The 17,969-nt window shown below is 33.9% G+C and overlaps 1 protein-coding gene across 3 annotated transcripts in view; it reads left to right on the top strand.

The window, feature by feature from the left end:
• The window catches only part of ZNF280D (zinc finger protein 280D), a 103,334-nt gene that overhangs the window by 65,674 nt on the left and 19,691 nt on the right, over positions 1-17,969 (top strand). For all 3 annotated transcript variants that reach the window (NM_001002843.3, NM_001288588.2, NM_017661.4), the window contains 5 exons: positions 850-1,157; positions 1,301-1,441; positions 9,350-9,412; positions 13,333-13,451; positions 13,602-13,638. In NM_001002843.3, coding sequence (NP_001002843.1) covers positions 850-1,157; positions 1,301-1,441; positions 9,350-9,412; positions 13,333-13,451; positions 13,602-13,638 — 668 coding nt within the window. The remainder of the gene's footprint in view (positions 1-849; positions 1,158-1,300; positions 1,442-9,349; positions 9,413-13,332; positions 13,452-13,601; positions 13,639-17,969) is intronic.

Here is a 17,969-nt window from a genome sequence, read left to right as displayed (position 1 = left end):
GGCAGGTATTGCCCCATGTTATAGATGTGAAGAAGCATAGAGAGGATAAGTTCCTTGTTCAAGGTCACATGGCTAGGAAGGCCTTTTGATTCCTGGTCCAGTGCCATTGTATGTTACCCAAGCACATGTATGTCATAGGACTTCCTTATTGACTGTTCCTCAAATACCGGAGGAGGGTATAGTCAAATGATTAACCAGAATGTTGGTAGGCACTTGTGTTTTTCATTGTCAACCAACAGATGAAATTAAACATTTTCTCATTCTGAATACTAAATGATGAACTTTGTATTAGTTTACTTTAAGAAATTTCTGAATATTATTTAGCCCTCTATGCAGTATAATAAATTGATGTAACTCCTCCCATAACATTTGTAAGCATAAATCTTGGGCACTGAGCCCCTGGAAAGAGGAGATCACATTTACTGTAGATCTGTTTCTTTTATAGTTGTTAAAGGGTAATTTAGGCCTTTCTAGAATTATTTTTCAGGCTTGAGATTTAAATTTTGAGCTCTATGCTTGTGAATTTCTTAAAGTTAAGTCAGGGCATAAAAATAGCTATGGAATGTGCTCTTTGTATATTCATATAATTTGTATTAACTCCTAATTATTCACTGATAACTGTGTTAACATATAACTGATATCAATACAAAAATGTAATATTACAACTTAATATCAAGTTTAATATCATTTAATAGTTTGAACATTTAGAATAAATGGGAGACTTACCTGATTGTAGTTTATATGTGCTTTTTTCAAAATTCTTGATTTTTAACTATTTTTGTACCATGATATTTTAATATTAATGTACTGATTAATCTCTTAAAGCAAATCTTCTCTTTATTTTTGTAGGTTACTATTCGAGCTTCAGTTGGACCTCTGCAATCAGGAGCTTCACCTACACCTTCCATTAGTGCAAGTGCTTCTACCCTTCAGCTCTCACCTCCAAGGACTAAAAATATAACTGCTAAAAATCCTGCAAAATCTAATACAAGTAAACCTAATACAGTCAAATCCAACGCAAGTAAACCTAATACAAGTAAGCCTAATGGAAGTAAATCTAAATACAAACCAAAAATCTCTAATATGCAAAAGAAACAAAGCACATTGGCTAGTAGCAATAAAAAAAGTAAAGTCAATACAGCATTGAGGAATTTAAGGTAATCTTTTATTCCTGATATACAATATAATTTAAACTTAAGTATAAAAACTTATACTTTAGTTAAGAGAACATTATTAAGGCTCTTCCTTATTATTTTTGTTTTAAAATATATTTTTATCATTTTTTTAATGTCTCCCTAAGGTATCGTCGGGGCATTCACAAATGCATTGAGTGTTGTTCCGAAATAAAAGATTTTGCAAACCACTTTCCTACGTACGTCCACTGTAGTTTTTGCAGATACAACACTAGCTGTAGCAAAGCCTATGTAAATCATATGATGAGGTAAGATGAATTAAATGTGTAAATTGCCAATTAAAATTATAGTTCAGCAAGTTTCTGTTTCAAAAACAAAGTTATCCTATTAGAAGCCAGTTTTTCTCTTCAAGGAGCTAAAAGGATCTAACAATAAGGAACTTTTAGGATATTGCCTGGTCCTATTTCTCAGCATAGTAACTAGAAATTATGGGACTAAAATTGTAAGAAAAATTAAGCTAATGAAATTAGAATAGGTTTGTTAGGGTAATAGTTTTTCTTTTTTATTTTTTTGAGATGGAGTCTCGCTCTGTTGCCCAGGCTGGAGTGCAGTGGCATCAGCTCACTGAAACCTCTGCCTCCCAGGATCAAGCAATTCCCCTGCCTTCGCCTCCTGAGTAGCTGGGACAACAGGTGTGAGCCACCATGCCTGGCTAGTTTTTGGATTTTTAGTAGAGACAGGGTTTCACCATGTTGGCCAGGCTGGTCTCAAACTGCTGACCTCAAGTGATCTGCCCGCCTTGGCCTCCCAAAGTGCTGGGATTACAGGCATGAGCCATTGCACCCGGCTGGGAAATAGTTTTTCCATGGAACTTTTTATTGCCCCATTGGTGTTTCAATAATGGTTACTTTCCAACAGAATTTTAAATTTTTAAATATATTTACTAAATAAATACTTGTAATCTCATGAGCGTCATCCTCCTTTTTTTTTTTTTTTTTTGAGACGGAGTCTCGCTGTGTCGCCCAGGCTGTAGTGGCGTCATCCTCTTTAAAGCAGTCACTTTGAGAGACTTTAAGATTTTCAGTGGAGTCTGTTTCTCTTTCTGTATTCCAACTGTCTTTTTATCCATCTGTCAGGCCATCTATACTTGCATCCATTCAGTGAAAATGAGACACCATTCCACCATGATGCCACTTTTGGAATTCTTTTTCATTAATTCATTCAACTTAGATTATTTGAGTACTTACTATTTACACTATGTTAGGAAAAGCCTTCAGAGTCTGCATTATTTTCATTTTTAGATCTCATTAGGGGAATACTTTATTCCTTCAGAATGGGTTTGTATTTTTTTTAAGTAGGCAAAAGTTGTTTAGATATAAACCTGAGAGTTTGCTTTTTCAAAGTAAGTTTGTTCAGTTTTTGTTTAAAATTAGAATTAATGTATTATAAGTGACTTTCTTGCAGATTACACATGACTTCTCTGTTACTTGCTGGTCATTATCAACTACTGCTTTCAAGGATTCTTCTACCTTTTTTGGTGGCTTCAGCACTTCTCTCGGTTTTCCCATGTCTTCATGGTTGGCCTGACCTCATGGTATCTTGCTTCTTTAGTGCCAGCATTTCACATCAACTTTTAAGTTCATATATTGTCTTTTTTTTTCTTGAAACTACAGTACTATTTAAATCTCTTCCTATAAACTGTTCATTCCTTTTGGATTTCCATTACCCCATGATGTTCAGAGCTTTGACTCCTTTTTCCAGCCTAGTAGCACCCATCTTAATTTTGTAGTCAACCTTACTCTCAGGATCATCTGTTTTGATTGTGGCTTTTTGTCCTAGAATCCTTTACATCTTTAGTCATGCTCACTGGCATAAAGGCCAAGGTAAGATTTGAACCTCTTCTCTTTTGAACTTCCTCTGTGCTCACTTCTAGACTATCAAATGGTCCTTGATTTAGTCAACTCTGATTTCAAAAACTTTAATTCTGATTAGGTCTTATTTTTTTAAAAAAGATCTCTTTATTTTTACCTGCAACATTTGTTTAATCCTTCTTCAGTACCCTAAAGATTTTATTTTAGTTTCTCAGTTGTTAACTTGGCCTATTAATTAGTCAATTGTAGGTCATCCTTTTTATTTTTCCTAAAATTAACTCTTTTCAACCCCACGTATTTTTCCTGTTACCTTCAATCAGACATTAATCTTAAAAATCTAACATGTCTCACTTCCCCATTAACTGTCCTTTCTCCCCCAGTTCACCATGACCATATTCAGTTAACTTGGATCTTCATCTCTTTCTCTCTATATGGTTCCTTCTGCTTACAAACATTTTCAGGTATTTAAAAAATTTTTTGGAAGAGGACAGTTTGTCCCAACTGCCTGTTTTCCTTATTTCTTGTCTTCCTTTTTACCATTAACATTTGTAAAAAGTGTTTGCTACCAGCTTTATTGTGATTCATTTCTTTACCTTTTGAGTATTGCCCCCACCTACCAACTAACATTCCTCTTTTAAAGATTATCTGTTATGAACATATCACCATATTTACTCCCTATTTTTCATTCTTACTCCTCTGTGACTTCTTTAGAGTATTTGACATTGTTGTCACTCACTTTTTAAAACTTAATTTGTTTAATGTTCCTGACAGCCATGTGAAATTAATTAATTTAAAAATTTTTATAGAGACTACTTCATATTTGTGGAGTACATGTGATATTTTGTTACAAGCATACAATATGTAATAAACCCAGGGATATCCATCACTTCCAATTTTATCATTTCTTCATTTCTTCTTCTTTTTCTTTTTTTGTGAGATGGGGTCTCACTCTGTCACCCCAGAGTGCTAGGTCTTGCAGTCAAAGCTCACTGCAACCTCAAACTCCTAGGCTGAAGTGATCCTCCTGTGTTAGCCTCCTGAGTAGCCATATAGGTGTGTGCCACCATGCCCAGCTACATTTATCATTTCTTTGTGATGGGAACATTCAAAATATACTCTTCTAATTAGTTTGCAATATACAAGAAATTCTTGTTCATTGTCATCACACACAGCTCTTAGTGTCATATGGAACTAAAAGCTTCCATTGCCACTCTTAGGGTTGGGTAGGTCTTTTTGTCTTTTTCTCAACCTCAGTGGTACCCTTGCTTCCCTCATTGCATTAGGTGCATCCCACTGAATGGCGAACTCTTCTCTGCAGTGTTGATTCTTGTTAGAAGTTTGAGGTTTATATATACAGAAGCCTGATTTTCTCCAAAGCATGAGAACCTTTAATTCCTATCCCGTACTAACTCTGTAGCCTCTCAATTGGTCTTTTTCCCTTTGGTCTCATACCTGCCCCAATCCATCCCTGTAAGTTGGTTAATCTTCCACAGAGTATAGTTTCTTCCATATTAATTTTCTTTCTTTTTTCCTTTTTTTTTTTTTTTTTTGAGAAAGGGTCTCACTCCAACCCAGGCTGGAGTGCAGTGGCTCCATCACAGTTCACTACAGCCTCAACCTTCTGGGCTCAGGTGATCCTCCCACCTCAGCGTCTTGAGTAGCTGGGACTTACAGGCATGCACTACCATGCTCAGATAATTTTTTTTTTTTGTAGGGATGGGATTTTTTCCATTTTGCCCAGGCTGGTCATGGGCTCCTGGGCTTAAGTGATCTGCCTACTCTAGCCTCTTAAAGTGCAATGATTATAGCTGAGCACCCCCTCTGCACCTGGCCCCATGTTTGTTTTCTACAGTGACTATTCGGTATTCCTTGTTAGTTCCCAGAATACCCTGTTCCTTCCTCTCAGTTTACCTTCTTTTTTCAAGTGTCTGATCACCACAGCCGTTACTTTCTTTGAATTGTGTACTATTCATCTATTTTGCCTTTTTTTTTTTTTTTTTTGAGACAGAGTCTTGCTCTGTCACCTGTCACCCAGGCTAGAGTGCAGTGGCAAGATCTTGGCTCACTGCAACCTCCACCTCCCAGGTTCACGCAATTCTCCTGCCTCAGCCTCCCAAGTAGCTGTGATTACAGGTGCCGCCAACATGCCCAGCTAATTTTTGTATTTTTAGTAGAGATGGGCTTTCACCATGTTGTCCAGGCTGGTCTCAAACTCCTGACCTCAGTTGATCCACCCGCCTTGGCCTCCCAAAGTGCTGGATTACAGGCATGAGCCACCGTGCCTGGCCCTATTTTGCCTTTTATTGTATTTATTTGTGTTTGTATTATCTTCTTGAGAAGAAGGGGGTCTTTGTATTTATCATATCACCTAGCACATTACAAACTGCAGGTGATAGTCATTATTTGTTTTAATTATAAAAGGTCCTAAATAAAATCTCAGAAGAAGGTGTTCAAAAATCTTGAAGCAGTTGGAGTATTGTTGGAGTAAGATCTTTTCAAAGAAAAGCATCATTAAATGTGTAATTTTTAATTTTTTTTAAGCAGCATTTTTTAGGTTCAGTTCTTTAAATTATTGTACCTTATTGGCTTATAGCTTTTAGGTAGTAATAGAAATTATCTGAAAAAAATGCACATAAATTGCTCTATAATCTTGCTATTATTCCTCAAAATGATGTATAAGAAGCATTTTTCTTTACATAAAAGAGAATTAAGTTAACATACATAAGCAGTATCTCTTTTTTGTAGCAGAGTTTTATTATTTCAACCAGGTTCATGTATTTTATTATGTACCTACTAGGAAGGTATTTAATACAATTTGCTAAGAAGTATGGCAAGCTGGGGGTGAAGAATCAAACAAGTCTGGATTTGAATCCAACCTTCACTGTATACATGTGGAACTTTGAACAAATTACTTAATCTGACTCTCAGATTGCATTTCTTGAAAAGAAAGTTATTGTGACTTTTAGAAAAACTGTATTAAAGTGCTTAATAACAATTTGCACTTAAGAGATATTCAAGTAATGATAGCTATTAATTTCTAAGTTGTCATTATTAGGATTGGGGGAGTTCCTGACTGTAATTTTCACAATTTAGAAGGGGAAATAAATTTACCTAGGTTATTGTGATAAACAAATGACTATGAAAGTACGGAGGAGGTAAAGATGAAATCTTTAAACAAGAAATAAGGGAAGATTTTCTGTAAATTTCACTTAGGCTTTGAGGGATGATTTTTAAAATTTCCAAGGAAAAAGAAAGCTAGTATAAAAATTTGTTTCTTACACAGTAGGTACGACAGAGTACTGAATTTTAAAAAGGTCTGCTTGACTTCATTATAAATTTTACAGAAATTTATTGACACTAAATGATAATCATAGGACTAGTTAGACTATTATGTCTTCTGCCTACAGTTTTCCCCCTTTTTTCCAGTTCATCCTTTCTTTTGCTGTAGGCAAATCTGGTCAGGTCATTCTTTGGCCTAAAATCCTTTCCTAACATTGATAGAATGAACTTCAGATTTTCTGGAAAATATAACACCTTTCCATATCAGATTCCTAACTACTTTTCAACTCCTTCAACTCCTTTTATTCTCTTGAAAATTCTTCTATATCTTCACAGTTACTCTTTGCTTTGCCTGGAAGTGAAGCAGTAAGAGTCTTCTAACTGCAGTGAACTCCTAATTGTTAGCTGGCTTCTACCCCATCTGTCTTGCAGCTTTCCTTCATGCAACCACAAACTCTGTATGTGTCACTATTGACTTTTATCTTGTGTTAATTATTTATGAATATGTATTCATTGATTTAGCAAATATTTTTTGGGCATTCATTCTGTGCCATCCCCTTTCTCCCCCAAACACTCCCCCCAAGCAACCATAAACTCTAGGGCAGGCAGCTTGCCTTTGTTGTTGTATCATCGGCCTCTAGTCTAATGTCTTAAAATTTTTAAGGAAATTGTTCCTTTTATGTTTCTTAGAAAGTAAGGTTGTTACTTATGTGGAATCAAGATTATGAAGAAAATATGATTAGAGGAGGTTTTTGACCTCAGTTTTCTTGAGGTATAATTTATACACAATAAAATTCACCTATTTTTAGAGAATTGCTTAATGAGTTTTGATAATTATATACTGTCAGCTAATCAAGTAAGGGATTTTTTTAAAAAATTAGGTTTTAACATTATATTTTTACTATATTGTAATAAAAAACCTTTCTTAGATTTATTTCTATATTGCTATTACCTTTATGGAGAGCTAATAGGAAGAAGGGTAGTATTTTTTTTTCCTTTTTATGTGTGAGCTGTGAATTCACTTTTCCCTTCCTGTGATACACAAAACTATAAGTATGGAATTAAATACAGAGAAATCAAGCAGGTGGTAGAAATCCCTTTTTATAGATGAGAAACTCTAAAACAATTCAGGTAACCAAAAATTTAAAATGGTCAACATTATGATATGGTATAAGTTGTAGACAAATGCAGAGGCTATCAAAAGACCCTATACTATAAGATTTTCTCTCCTCTTATATTTAATAGATAAATAAACCATAAATAGCCTGCTTGTTTGAAGAGAAAGAATAAAGAGCTTTTAAATCTCGTTTAAAAATAACTTATTTTGGTTCACATGTTTTAGTAATCAAACAAAATCTTGGACTTATTTCTCTGAGGAAATATAGTTGTGTATACAAGTTTTTGCATATAATTTCAGGGCTTCCCAACTTCCCAATGTACTCTTCTAACAAAACTTTGTTTTTGTGATACCATCTTAAATTTGTAAACTCTAATAGTAATTACTCCTAGGTTGAAGAAATGACTATTAGAAATCTGAGGATATTTTCTGGGGATTATAGCTAGTGACACATACAGAGTCTGTGATTGCATGAAGGAAAGCTGCAGATAGTTGGGTAGGAATATATGTATATATATATATTTTTTTTTTCCTTTTTTTCCCTATACATACATGTGGTGCTGGGGACAATTACCTTGTATCTGAGAGTAAGCATTGACCCAGGTGTGTTGGCTGCTGTTTCTTAAACTTTAGCGTGTGTGTGAATCACTGAAAATGCTTGTTAAAGCAAATTCCTGAGCTCCTCTGCCCTTTGTAGGTTGAGGGGTTGTCACGGGGGATGGGGTTGTTGGTGGGGGAAGACTACATTTTGAAATACAGTAGTCCCCCTTATCTGCTGGGGTATATATTCCAAGACCCCCCAGTGAACGCCTGAAACTGTGGATAGTATTACGCTCTATGTGTACTATACTTTTTTTTTCCTATACATACTATGTATAATAAAGGTTTATTTATAAATTACACACAGTAAGATAATTAACAATAGAACAATTATAATAACAATATACTGTAATAAAAATTATATGAACGTAGTCTGTCTCTCTTAAAATATGTTATTGTGCTGTATGTGTGTAACAGAAGCCACAGAAAGTGAAATGTGGTTAACGGTGGTGAGGAGGGACAACTGTAAGCTGTTAGGTGATATTTACACTTTTGGTCTAATACTGGCTTTCTAGTACAGGAAACTTTCCTTACTGGAATTAAAAAGGGTATATAGAAGCTATTATCATGGGCTACAAAATTGGGTTAGTTTTCTTTTCTGTGCTTAGAGGAAACATTGTTTTAACTCATGAGTTCCTTTTTTTTTTTTTTTTTTTTTTTAATAAAAAACACTCTACTAGAAAGCCAGGCTCGGTGGCCTCCCTCTGTAGTTTCAGCTACCCAGGAGACTGAGGCAGAAAGATCACTTGAGCCCAGGAGTTTGATTCCAACTGGGCAACATAGTGAGATCCATCTCTTAAGAAGAAAAAAAGTCTACTAGTAATTACAAGGAACACTGTAAATGTTTGAATTTACAGATGGTAAACAGTGGCATTTAGCTCAAGTTCTGTTTACTTCCCAGATCATTTGGATCCTACCCCACTCCCCCTACACAAACATGTTAAAATTGGAGAGTAATAAAAAAGAATTACTATTAATAACTTCATATTGTAGCACACGTGTTATTAACAAAAATTTAGAATTGTTTTCAACTCAGTAAATCAAAATATGTAATTTGATGTTCTTTACATTTTCTTAATTCTCAGTATTTCCTTTTTTAATATAATGGTAAGGTACAGTGCTAACCATCTAAGAATATGCCTAGGAAAATAGTGTCATTAGAATATAATAGGTAAAATGGAATATCAGATAAAATATTGAATTAAATGGAAGTGACAGGCATTATTTTATTATTTACATTATAATCTTTTATTACAAACTAGAAACTTAAGTATGGACTTGAAATATAGTTATAAATTAATGTGACTTATTGTATAATAAAATTTTTACTATCTCTTTTGTTTCTCCAGCTTTCATAGTAACCGTCCAAGCAAAAGGTTTTGTATTTTTAAGAAGCATTCAGAAAATCTCCGGTAACTAGTTGATCTTTTTTTACTCTTTCTATTGAAAAATTGTAATGACTTAAATTTTTTTTAACACAACAGCTTTATTGAGGTAGAATTAGCATACCATACAATTTATGTGTTTATAGGTTTTAGGATATTCACAGAGTTGTGCAGCAATCACCAGTTAGTTTTGGTACATTTTTATCACTCCAGAAAGAAACCCTGTACCCATTAGTGGTCATTCCCATTTCTCTCCAGCTCTTCCCATCCCTGAACAACAACTAGTCTACTTTCTGTCTGTGTAATATTTGCCCATTCTGGACATTTCATATAAAAAATGATACATGATGTGGTCCTCTGTGGCTTCTTTCATTTAGCATAATGTTTTCAAAATTCATCTATGTTGTAGCATGTATCAATATTTCATTGTTAAAAATTGCTGCAAAACCCATTGTAAAGGTACATCATAGTTTATTTATTTAGATTGTTTTCATTTTGAGGCCCTTATGAATAATACTACTGTGAACATGTGTGTGCATGTTTTTGTATGGACATGTATTTTTATTTCTCTTTAGTATATACTTATGATTGGAATTGCTGGTCTGTTTGATAACTCCATGCTGAGCGTTTGAGGAAGCACCAGACTGTTTTCCAAAGTAGCTCCACTATTTTACATTCCCACCAGCAGTGTTTGAGGGTTCCAATTTCTCCACATATTTGCCAACACTTTTTATTATCTCTTTTTGATTATAGTCACCCTAATGGGTATAAAGTGGTATCTCATTGTGGTTTGCTATAACTTTTTTTAAACCTGATATTAGGGTACCTAATTTGAAAATATAAATGATTGCTACTGGACATTAGAGAGTTGTGTTCATTGTATTCTTAGACCAGAAGTATGATTAGCCATTGTTCTCTTGCTGAATTTATTTCAGTGGAAAGGTGGTGTCCAGAGGAAACCTTGATGCGTTTGCATTGTAAAATGAGAACAAAAATAAGGCTCGCCAACAATATTTGAATATTAAAAAGATAGCTAAGCTATCTCTTAAAGGAATGAACACTTTTTTAGTTTTGAAGTAAATTTCCTTTAACCACTGGAATTCTTGAAATCAGTATATGATTTTTATAATTCTAATATTTTCTTTTGAAAATAAAGAGAATTATACAATTTTACTATACTGAAAGAACTGTTGATAAAATTTTCTAAAGGCATTGATAGTTATCTTTGGTTATACCACACACTTAGAATCCACTGAGCGCTATTGTTTCATATTCTTCTGATTTCTTGAACTTTCTTTGTTTATTTTATGTTGCCATTGCTCCTTGAAATGTCAGTGTCTTTGTTCCACCAAGCTGATCTGTAGAGATAAGTTTAGCGAATACTTATTTTGATGCTTTTGATTAGTGGAAAATGTAGAAGAGGGGATGGTATGTCTCAAGACCTTTGCATTTATTATTTCCTATGCCTAGTTTGCTTTCCCCCAGATATTGTATGGTTAGCTCTTTTGTCTCCTTTAGGCCTCTACTTTGATTGAGTGAGTCTTTCCTTGACTACAAAATTTAAAACTGTATCCTCTTCCCTTTGCTTTATCCCAGCATTCCCTATCTCCTGTTTATGTTTTACTTTTCTCTAGATCATCTAACATACTTTTATTTTACTTGCTTATTGCCTATGTTCTCTCACTATATTGTGTGTGGTTTGGTTTTTTTGTCTGTGCCTGGCACATAGTAGGCACTCAGTAAATATTTGTTGAATAAATTAATGTATATATTGAAAATGATGTACGTGGAAAATAGGTCCCATCTGTGATGTTAGACTAGTAGCTCACAGGGAGAGAAAATATCATTCAATTTTTAAAATGTTAGTACTACTTTTAAAATATTTACTGAATCTAGGGAAATAATTAAGCTACATTAGATGTTACCTTTACTAAAAACAGTTACAAGAGTGAATATGGTTTTATTGCATTCTAAGAATGAGAGTTTAATTCAATTTTTACCTCATTGTGGTCAAGCTCAGTTGTGTGTTTAGTTTCTCAATGAACTATGTGGTTTTAAAGATCTGGGATGTTTTTTCACTAAACCTGGCTAGTCTCAAATTGAAAATTGTTCAATTTCTGTGAATAGAGCTTAGCATAGTTATAATTCTATATGACAATGATTAATGTAATTATTCTTATTGAAATAGACTATTCATTCCGTAACTATTTATTACGTATCTGTCTTGCACATAAAGTAGCAGGTCCTGTAAAGATGACAGTGATGAAGCAGTGTTGGAACCAGCCTTCAGGGAATGTACAGTACAGTTTATTGGGTGGGAGTTAAGGTGTGAACATAAATAACTATGCGTTTTAATAAGTGCAATGAGACTTATTTCAGAGAGGAAAAATATTACAGTTCTTGTAGTGATCTGGATAGGTATTAGGCCTACTTGGCTTTAAAGGATGGGTATTGTTTCTACTGGTAGAAGAGGCACGGGGCATTCTAGTTCAATAGACTAAATTTTTTTCAAGAGTTCTGTTTACAATTCAAATTACTTTAGGCAACTTAACATCATTTGTACATTTAATATAATTGATTTTCTTTTAAATAGCACTTCAAATGCTTGGTGTAACCAACTCCCAAGTGCTTAACTCTTATAAGAAATTAAATATATAGTGGCTAAGTTATCTGAAGCATTTTAGTATTTTTACAGGCTTAATATTTTAAAACACCTTTCAGCTAAAAATCACACAAGTCTAAATGCATTTTAAGTTAGAATCTTAATGTACTTTATGTCAAGTGTATTCAAATACTTCAAATAGCAAATGCTAAACAGTTAGATCCAGTGAGGACAAAAACTCTTCCTGTACTCAAAAATAAAGTATTGATAACTAGGGAATTGTTTCCTAACCTCTTTAAACATTTATAATAATTACACATTTCATTTAAGAACTACAGCACTCAGGCCGGGCGCAGTGGCTCACGCCTGTAATCCCAGCACTGGGAGGCCGAGGTGGGGCTGATCACAAGGTCAGGAGTTCGAGACCAGCCTGACCAACATGGTGAAACCCCGTCTCTAGTAAAAATACAAAAATTAGCCAGGTGTGGTAGCATGAGCCTGTAGTCCCAGCTACTCAGGGGCCTGAGGCAGGAGAATCGCTTGAACCCAGGAGGTGGAGGTTGCAGTGAGCTGAGATCACGCCACTGCACTCCCGCCTGGGTGACAGAGTGAGACTCCCTAGTTCACAGTGCTGAGATGATGAGGAACTCAAGTTTGCAGATTTTAGTATTTTATTAACTACTTTAGCTAGTTCAGTGTTAAGTAAGAATAATACCAACCTTGATGGTTGTAGTGAGAATCAGATGAAATAATAAATGGGAAAACTCTTGACACATAATGTACAATCGATGGTGGCTAAAACGTGATCTGTTTTTAAAGCCTTCCCATTTTTCTTCTGATTTTATCTCCAACTGAATAAAACACCAGATTCTAAGTAAGCTCCATTCGAGCATAGACAGTACTATTTCTTGTTCACCATTATATTCACAATACCTAGTAGTACAGTATATATAAAAATAGCTCCAGTAAATATCAAGTGAATGAATACGCTATGTTCACTTTGCAGATGCGTGGGAGGACAAATAGAATGTGACTTGCCTAAGTTACACAAGTTGGTTGTGGAGCCAAGACTGACTCTAGGTCTTCTGACTCCTAACTTTTAACAATTGGTATGACAGGTAAAAGTGTAAAATAAATACTTTCTGTAAATAAATGGTAGCATAATTTGGACATGGCTATGTCATTTACCAGAGAATAATGTCAGTTTATGTCAAATTTATATAACAAAAATGGGAAGTTATAGTTATGTATGGCACAAAAAGCAAATTATGGAAAAATAATCATCAAACTTATAAGTGGATTTTCATAAAAGATAAAAATCTTTTTTTAATGCTTTTTTTTTTAGGGGCATTACTCTAGTGTGCCTTAATTGTGATTTCCTAAGTGATGTTTCTGGCTTAGATAATATGGCTACACACTTAAGTCAACATAAAACTCATACTTGCCAAGTTGTAATGCAGAAAGGTACGTATATGTAACTGTGCTACTTTAGATTTTTGACTTTTATTCCAGTATTTTTGGTCATCCACAATATGGTCTCTTTACTAAATCATTATTCTCACTCATCATATTTCATATGCTGTTGTAAATGTAAAACTTTTCTTCTAATTTCAGTTTCTGTTTGTATCCCAACTTCTGAGCACCTTTCTGAGTAAGTTTAATTTTTATTCAGTGCATTTTACTTTGATGGATTTTAGCACTATTGCATTTTTAAATGTATCATTAATACGAATGAAAAGTATTAAAGTATGTTGTTGTTTTTTTGTTTTTTTTTTAAAGCTGCTTGTTGAAATAGGTTCCTGCTCTATGGAGCTCGTGACCTGGTGCAAGACAAGTTGGAATTTCCTAAGTTCAAAGTTCTGAGATGTTTTCTTACACAAAGGCAGTTGAGCAGCCAAGTTCATGACACTAGCTCTCATTATTCAGCTCTTTTCAGCTTTCAAATGGGACTAGATTCTTATTCCACCTTATCTTTGTGTCAGGTTGACATATCTTAACATATTTTTTTTTCTCCAGTTTGCGCTGTCTAAAAATAACATTTGTTGCTATGGTCTTTTCTTTGCTTACAATAATTTTTGTTTTTCTCTGCTGTACTTGCCTTCAGAATAATAGATTCCAAATTATATGGCTGTTTGTCTTTTGTCTGTTTGTCTGCTTTCTTAATTTCTTATACGTCTTAAGTTTTAGGCCAGATAATTGTCTTTTTCTCATTCGTTGTCTGTCATTGTGCTATTTTTCTTATTTTTCAGATGCAGAAGCAGCCCAGAGATTTCAAAAAATATCCAGGGTATACCTGGACAGTGTCCCCCTTCGATGGACACAACTGATGCCTGTTCTCTCTTTCCAAGGAATGTGAATAATTTGACTGTGGGACCTGCTCTTAGGTTGTGGCCTCAAGAAATCAGATCTTGGGGAGACTCCCTTTCTACATGGCTGGCCTCCCATAAGGCTGATGTTGTTTGGCCAGAGATGGCTTTAAGGCCCACCAAATTGAGCATACTTCCCACTGGGGGCTTTGGCTTATGATCTTAAGCTTATGAGTCAGTTATGACCAAGAAAAGCCCATCAAACCACTGCTTCAGCATCCAAGTTGAAGTTTAGTCATTTTGGCTGCTGCCTTTAAATCTTTCTCTAGCATGAATGCAGTCCAAGGAATATAAAAACTCTAGTTGTTAGGAAACCATGGCTACTTTCATATCCTTGGAACAACAGGTCTCCACAATTAAGTTCCAAAATTGCAGTTATTTTTACTGACATATAAAATCTATTAACCAGTATTAATTCTGTAATTTTTTAACAATACCGATTCTTGCATTTTGATTTTTTAAAAATTAATTTAATAGCTTGGTTTTATGTTCTCAAAATTTATTAATGTCTATTTTATGATGTCTATTTTTATATTATATTATTTAAAATTTGTTTAGTGTTTGTTTTAAGAACTCCAAGAGATTTCTTAGAATTCTCTACAGATTTTGTGTAGCTGCCTATTTGTAGATTTTAAATTTGGCTGTTACTAAGCCCATTAAACATTATTAGATACTCTGTCCTATTGGGATTATTATTAATATTACCTTAATTGTGAGTTCTTAGGTGTAAAGAATTGGCAATACTACTTGCAGACCTTAAGAGCCAGTTTTAAAGTTACGTATTTGTGCGTCTAAGATGTAATGTCTACTTAGCCATTAATGTAGCTCCTTTGGGTAAAGGTAACATGTTAAAAAACATACATATGGTGACCAGTAATGCATGTATTTCTTTCCTTTATATATTTTAAATTTGTCATGTGTTTATTTTAGTTACATTGAATATAGATCTAAACTTTTTATACTATTATCCTTTTAATAAAAATTATATTGTTTAAGTGCCTCAGGAATTATTTGCTAATGAATAAAGGGTGTAGATTTTATCTTATAAATAGGAACATTGCTCTCATTGTTATATGGAAGCCTTGTTACTTGGCTGCAGACAGTGCTATATCTAGTTAGTATACCTTGCATTTTTTTCTTGCAGCACAATGAAAAGGTTACTATACTAATTTCTTAAATTTTAAAGACTAGCAAAATGCCTTTTGTGATCTTAATAGCCATAAGGATAGGCAGGCCGGTTTAGATGACCAGTTAAAGCCGGTTTAGATGACCACCTATTATATGACGTGTTTCTTGCAATTAATTATCAAAAGAGTTGAATCTAATAGTTCTGAATTTCCAAACTAATTTATATTTTAAGTGAAAGGTTTTCCAAAATCTCCGCAAGTAGTTTGTTTCTTAGTAGTGGACTTAGTGATATACTAGTTGTTTTTTTTTTTTTCTTATTTGTCTCTAGGAATTTTTGTTATCTCCTCTCTCTACCCAGTTTTTAAAAGTTTATCCAGAAACAATAACTTTTTCCATTTTTAACATTAGTTCATTTACAGATATTCACCTTACCTTGGTCATAGGTCAAAAGCAGGATAAACCACATTGTTAATATAGTAATGTAGGAGTACAGTCAATCCTTCATATCCTTGGGTTTTGTGTCTGCAGATTCAGCCAACCATGGATTGAAAATATTTGGGGGGAAAAACAATAACAAATAACAATATAACAATAAAAAATACAAATAAAAAACAATACAATATAACAACTATTTACATAGCATTTACATTGTATAAGTGATCTGAGCATCTGAGGATTTTGTTATTCCTGGTGGAGGTTTGGGGAGGTAGGGGCGACCTGTGGGGTGGGGGCAGGTTCTGTAACCAATCCCCTACCAATACCAGGGAATGACTGTACTGCTTTGTGGTCTTACATAGACTTTTTTTTTATAGTATGTATCAAATTCATTTTCTTAAAGTATGAATTCTTAAAGTTCTTTCCCAGTAAATTCATTTTTAAAAAAAGGTTCAAATAAAACACTTGGCAGTCAGTACAAAGTTTGCTTATTGTAAGCAATTAGTTGAATTTTCAGTTTAGTGCTAATGAGTTTTAGTTTGAGTCTAATCCCTCCTTACCATCATTTTATTCTAGTTTATTCATCTGGTCAGATAGCCATTTCATGCATATGTGCTTTTTGGTTACTGTTGAATAAAATATGTGATTGGTTCAGTTTGAGTCCATCATCATTCTTAGAAAAATAATTATTAAACTACAGAGGCTCAGATTCTTGCCCTGTTTTTGTCACATTTTGGCAAAACACTTTGCCTCTTTGGGCATCATGTATTTATTCAGCGAATATTTATTGAGCATCTACTTTGTGCCTGGCATTGTCCTAGTTTCTAGAAATATAGACTAATCTCTGCTCTTATGGAACTTACATTATATTTGTGAAAGACAATAAAAGTAAATAAAACATATAATATGTTAGATGATGATCAATACTATGGAGAAATATGAATCAGAGAAGGGTGATAAAGGAGTATGGGGTAGGTGTTGGAAGGCTGCCATTTTTAATTTAGTGAGGCCTCACTGAGAGATGACATTTGAGTGAAGACATGAAACAGGCAAAGTCAAACTCAGTCATGAAATTGTTCTTTTCTGTTTCTCCCTTACCTCCATTTCTCCCCTCCTCTGTTTTCTTGTATATCTACCTGGATGGATGAATTATAACAAAATAGAAGTAAAGGTTTGAGTTTTGTAAGTTTCTTTTTCTTGACAAAAAGTTGAGAATAGAATGATAATTTCCTCTAACAGATCTTGAGAGTGTAAGAATCTGTGGTAAATACATAATAACTCAAGTTTGCTAAACTAGGCTACTTAACTGGTTGCCTATTTTATTGTTGAATCAAATATCCTAAAAGCCACAATTTCAAGAGATTTTAAAAGTTGATTTAGTTCTCTGAGTGACATCCATGTTTGTTCTAAGCAAAGTACAATGGGAAAGACATTGACAGTCAAAATATTAGAGTTAAAGGACCCAGCTGCCTCACTAACTTTATTTAAGGTACAGTTACTTCAGTTTCTTTTTCTGTGAAATCGAGTTGAAAATATCTTTGTTTTGAAGATGTTAGAAATATGTAAAATGTGTTTTACAGATGTTAATGTGTGTATTATACTTTATTAAATCCCCCTAATTTAATGAGCTTTATACTTAGCACCAGTAGTAACTACATGGCTCATTCACAGTATGATATAGACAACCTTCCCATATATTCTTTGTCACTGAACATTGACACCCTACTTTTTATGTGTGCAAGATTCTGTGTCAGGTGTTGGAAACATGAATAAAACATGGTTTATAGCACCAAAGCAATTACAGAATAAGGGAATTAGAAATGTAGACACTGAATCCACATTTTTTACAGGGACTATAGTCAACTGATTTCATAATCAATTAAACCACTAATATCATGTATATATTGCATTATGGGATTTTTTTTGTGAAATGCTGTATCAGAAGAGAATCTGGACCTATTCTCAAGGTGAAATAGCACTTTATTCTGCTATTCTCAAACCAGTAAGTCATTAATTATCTTTCATAAATGTAAGCAGTAAGTAAACTCTTAGG

The sequence above is a fragment of the Homo sapiens genome, chromosome 15, assembly GCF_000001405.40.
Source record: "Homo sapiens chromosome 15, GRCh38.p14 Primary Assembly".
Taxonomy (NCBI): Eukaryota; Metazoa; Chordata; class Mammalia; order Primates; family Hominidae; genus Homo; species Homo sapiens.
Note: the sequence above shows the minus strand (reverse complement) of the source record. Positions and strands in the feature narration are given on the sequence as shown.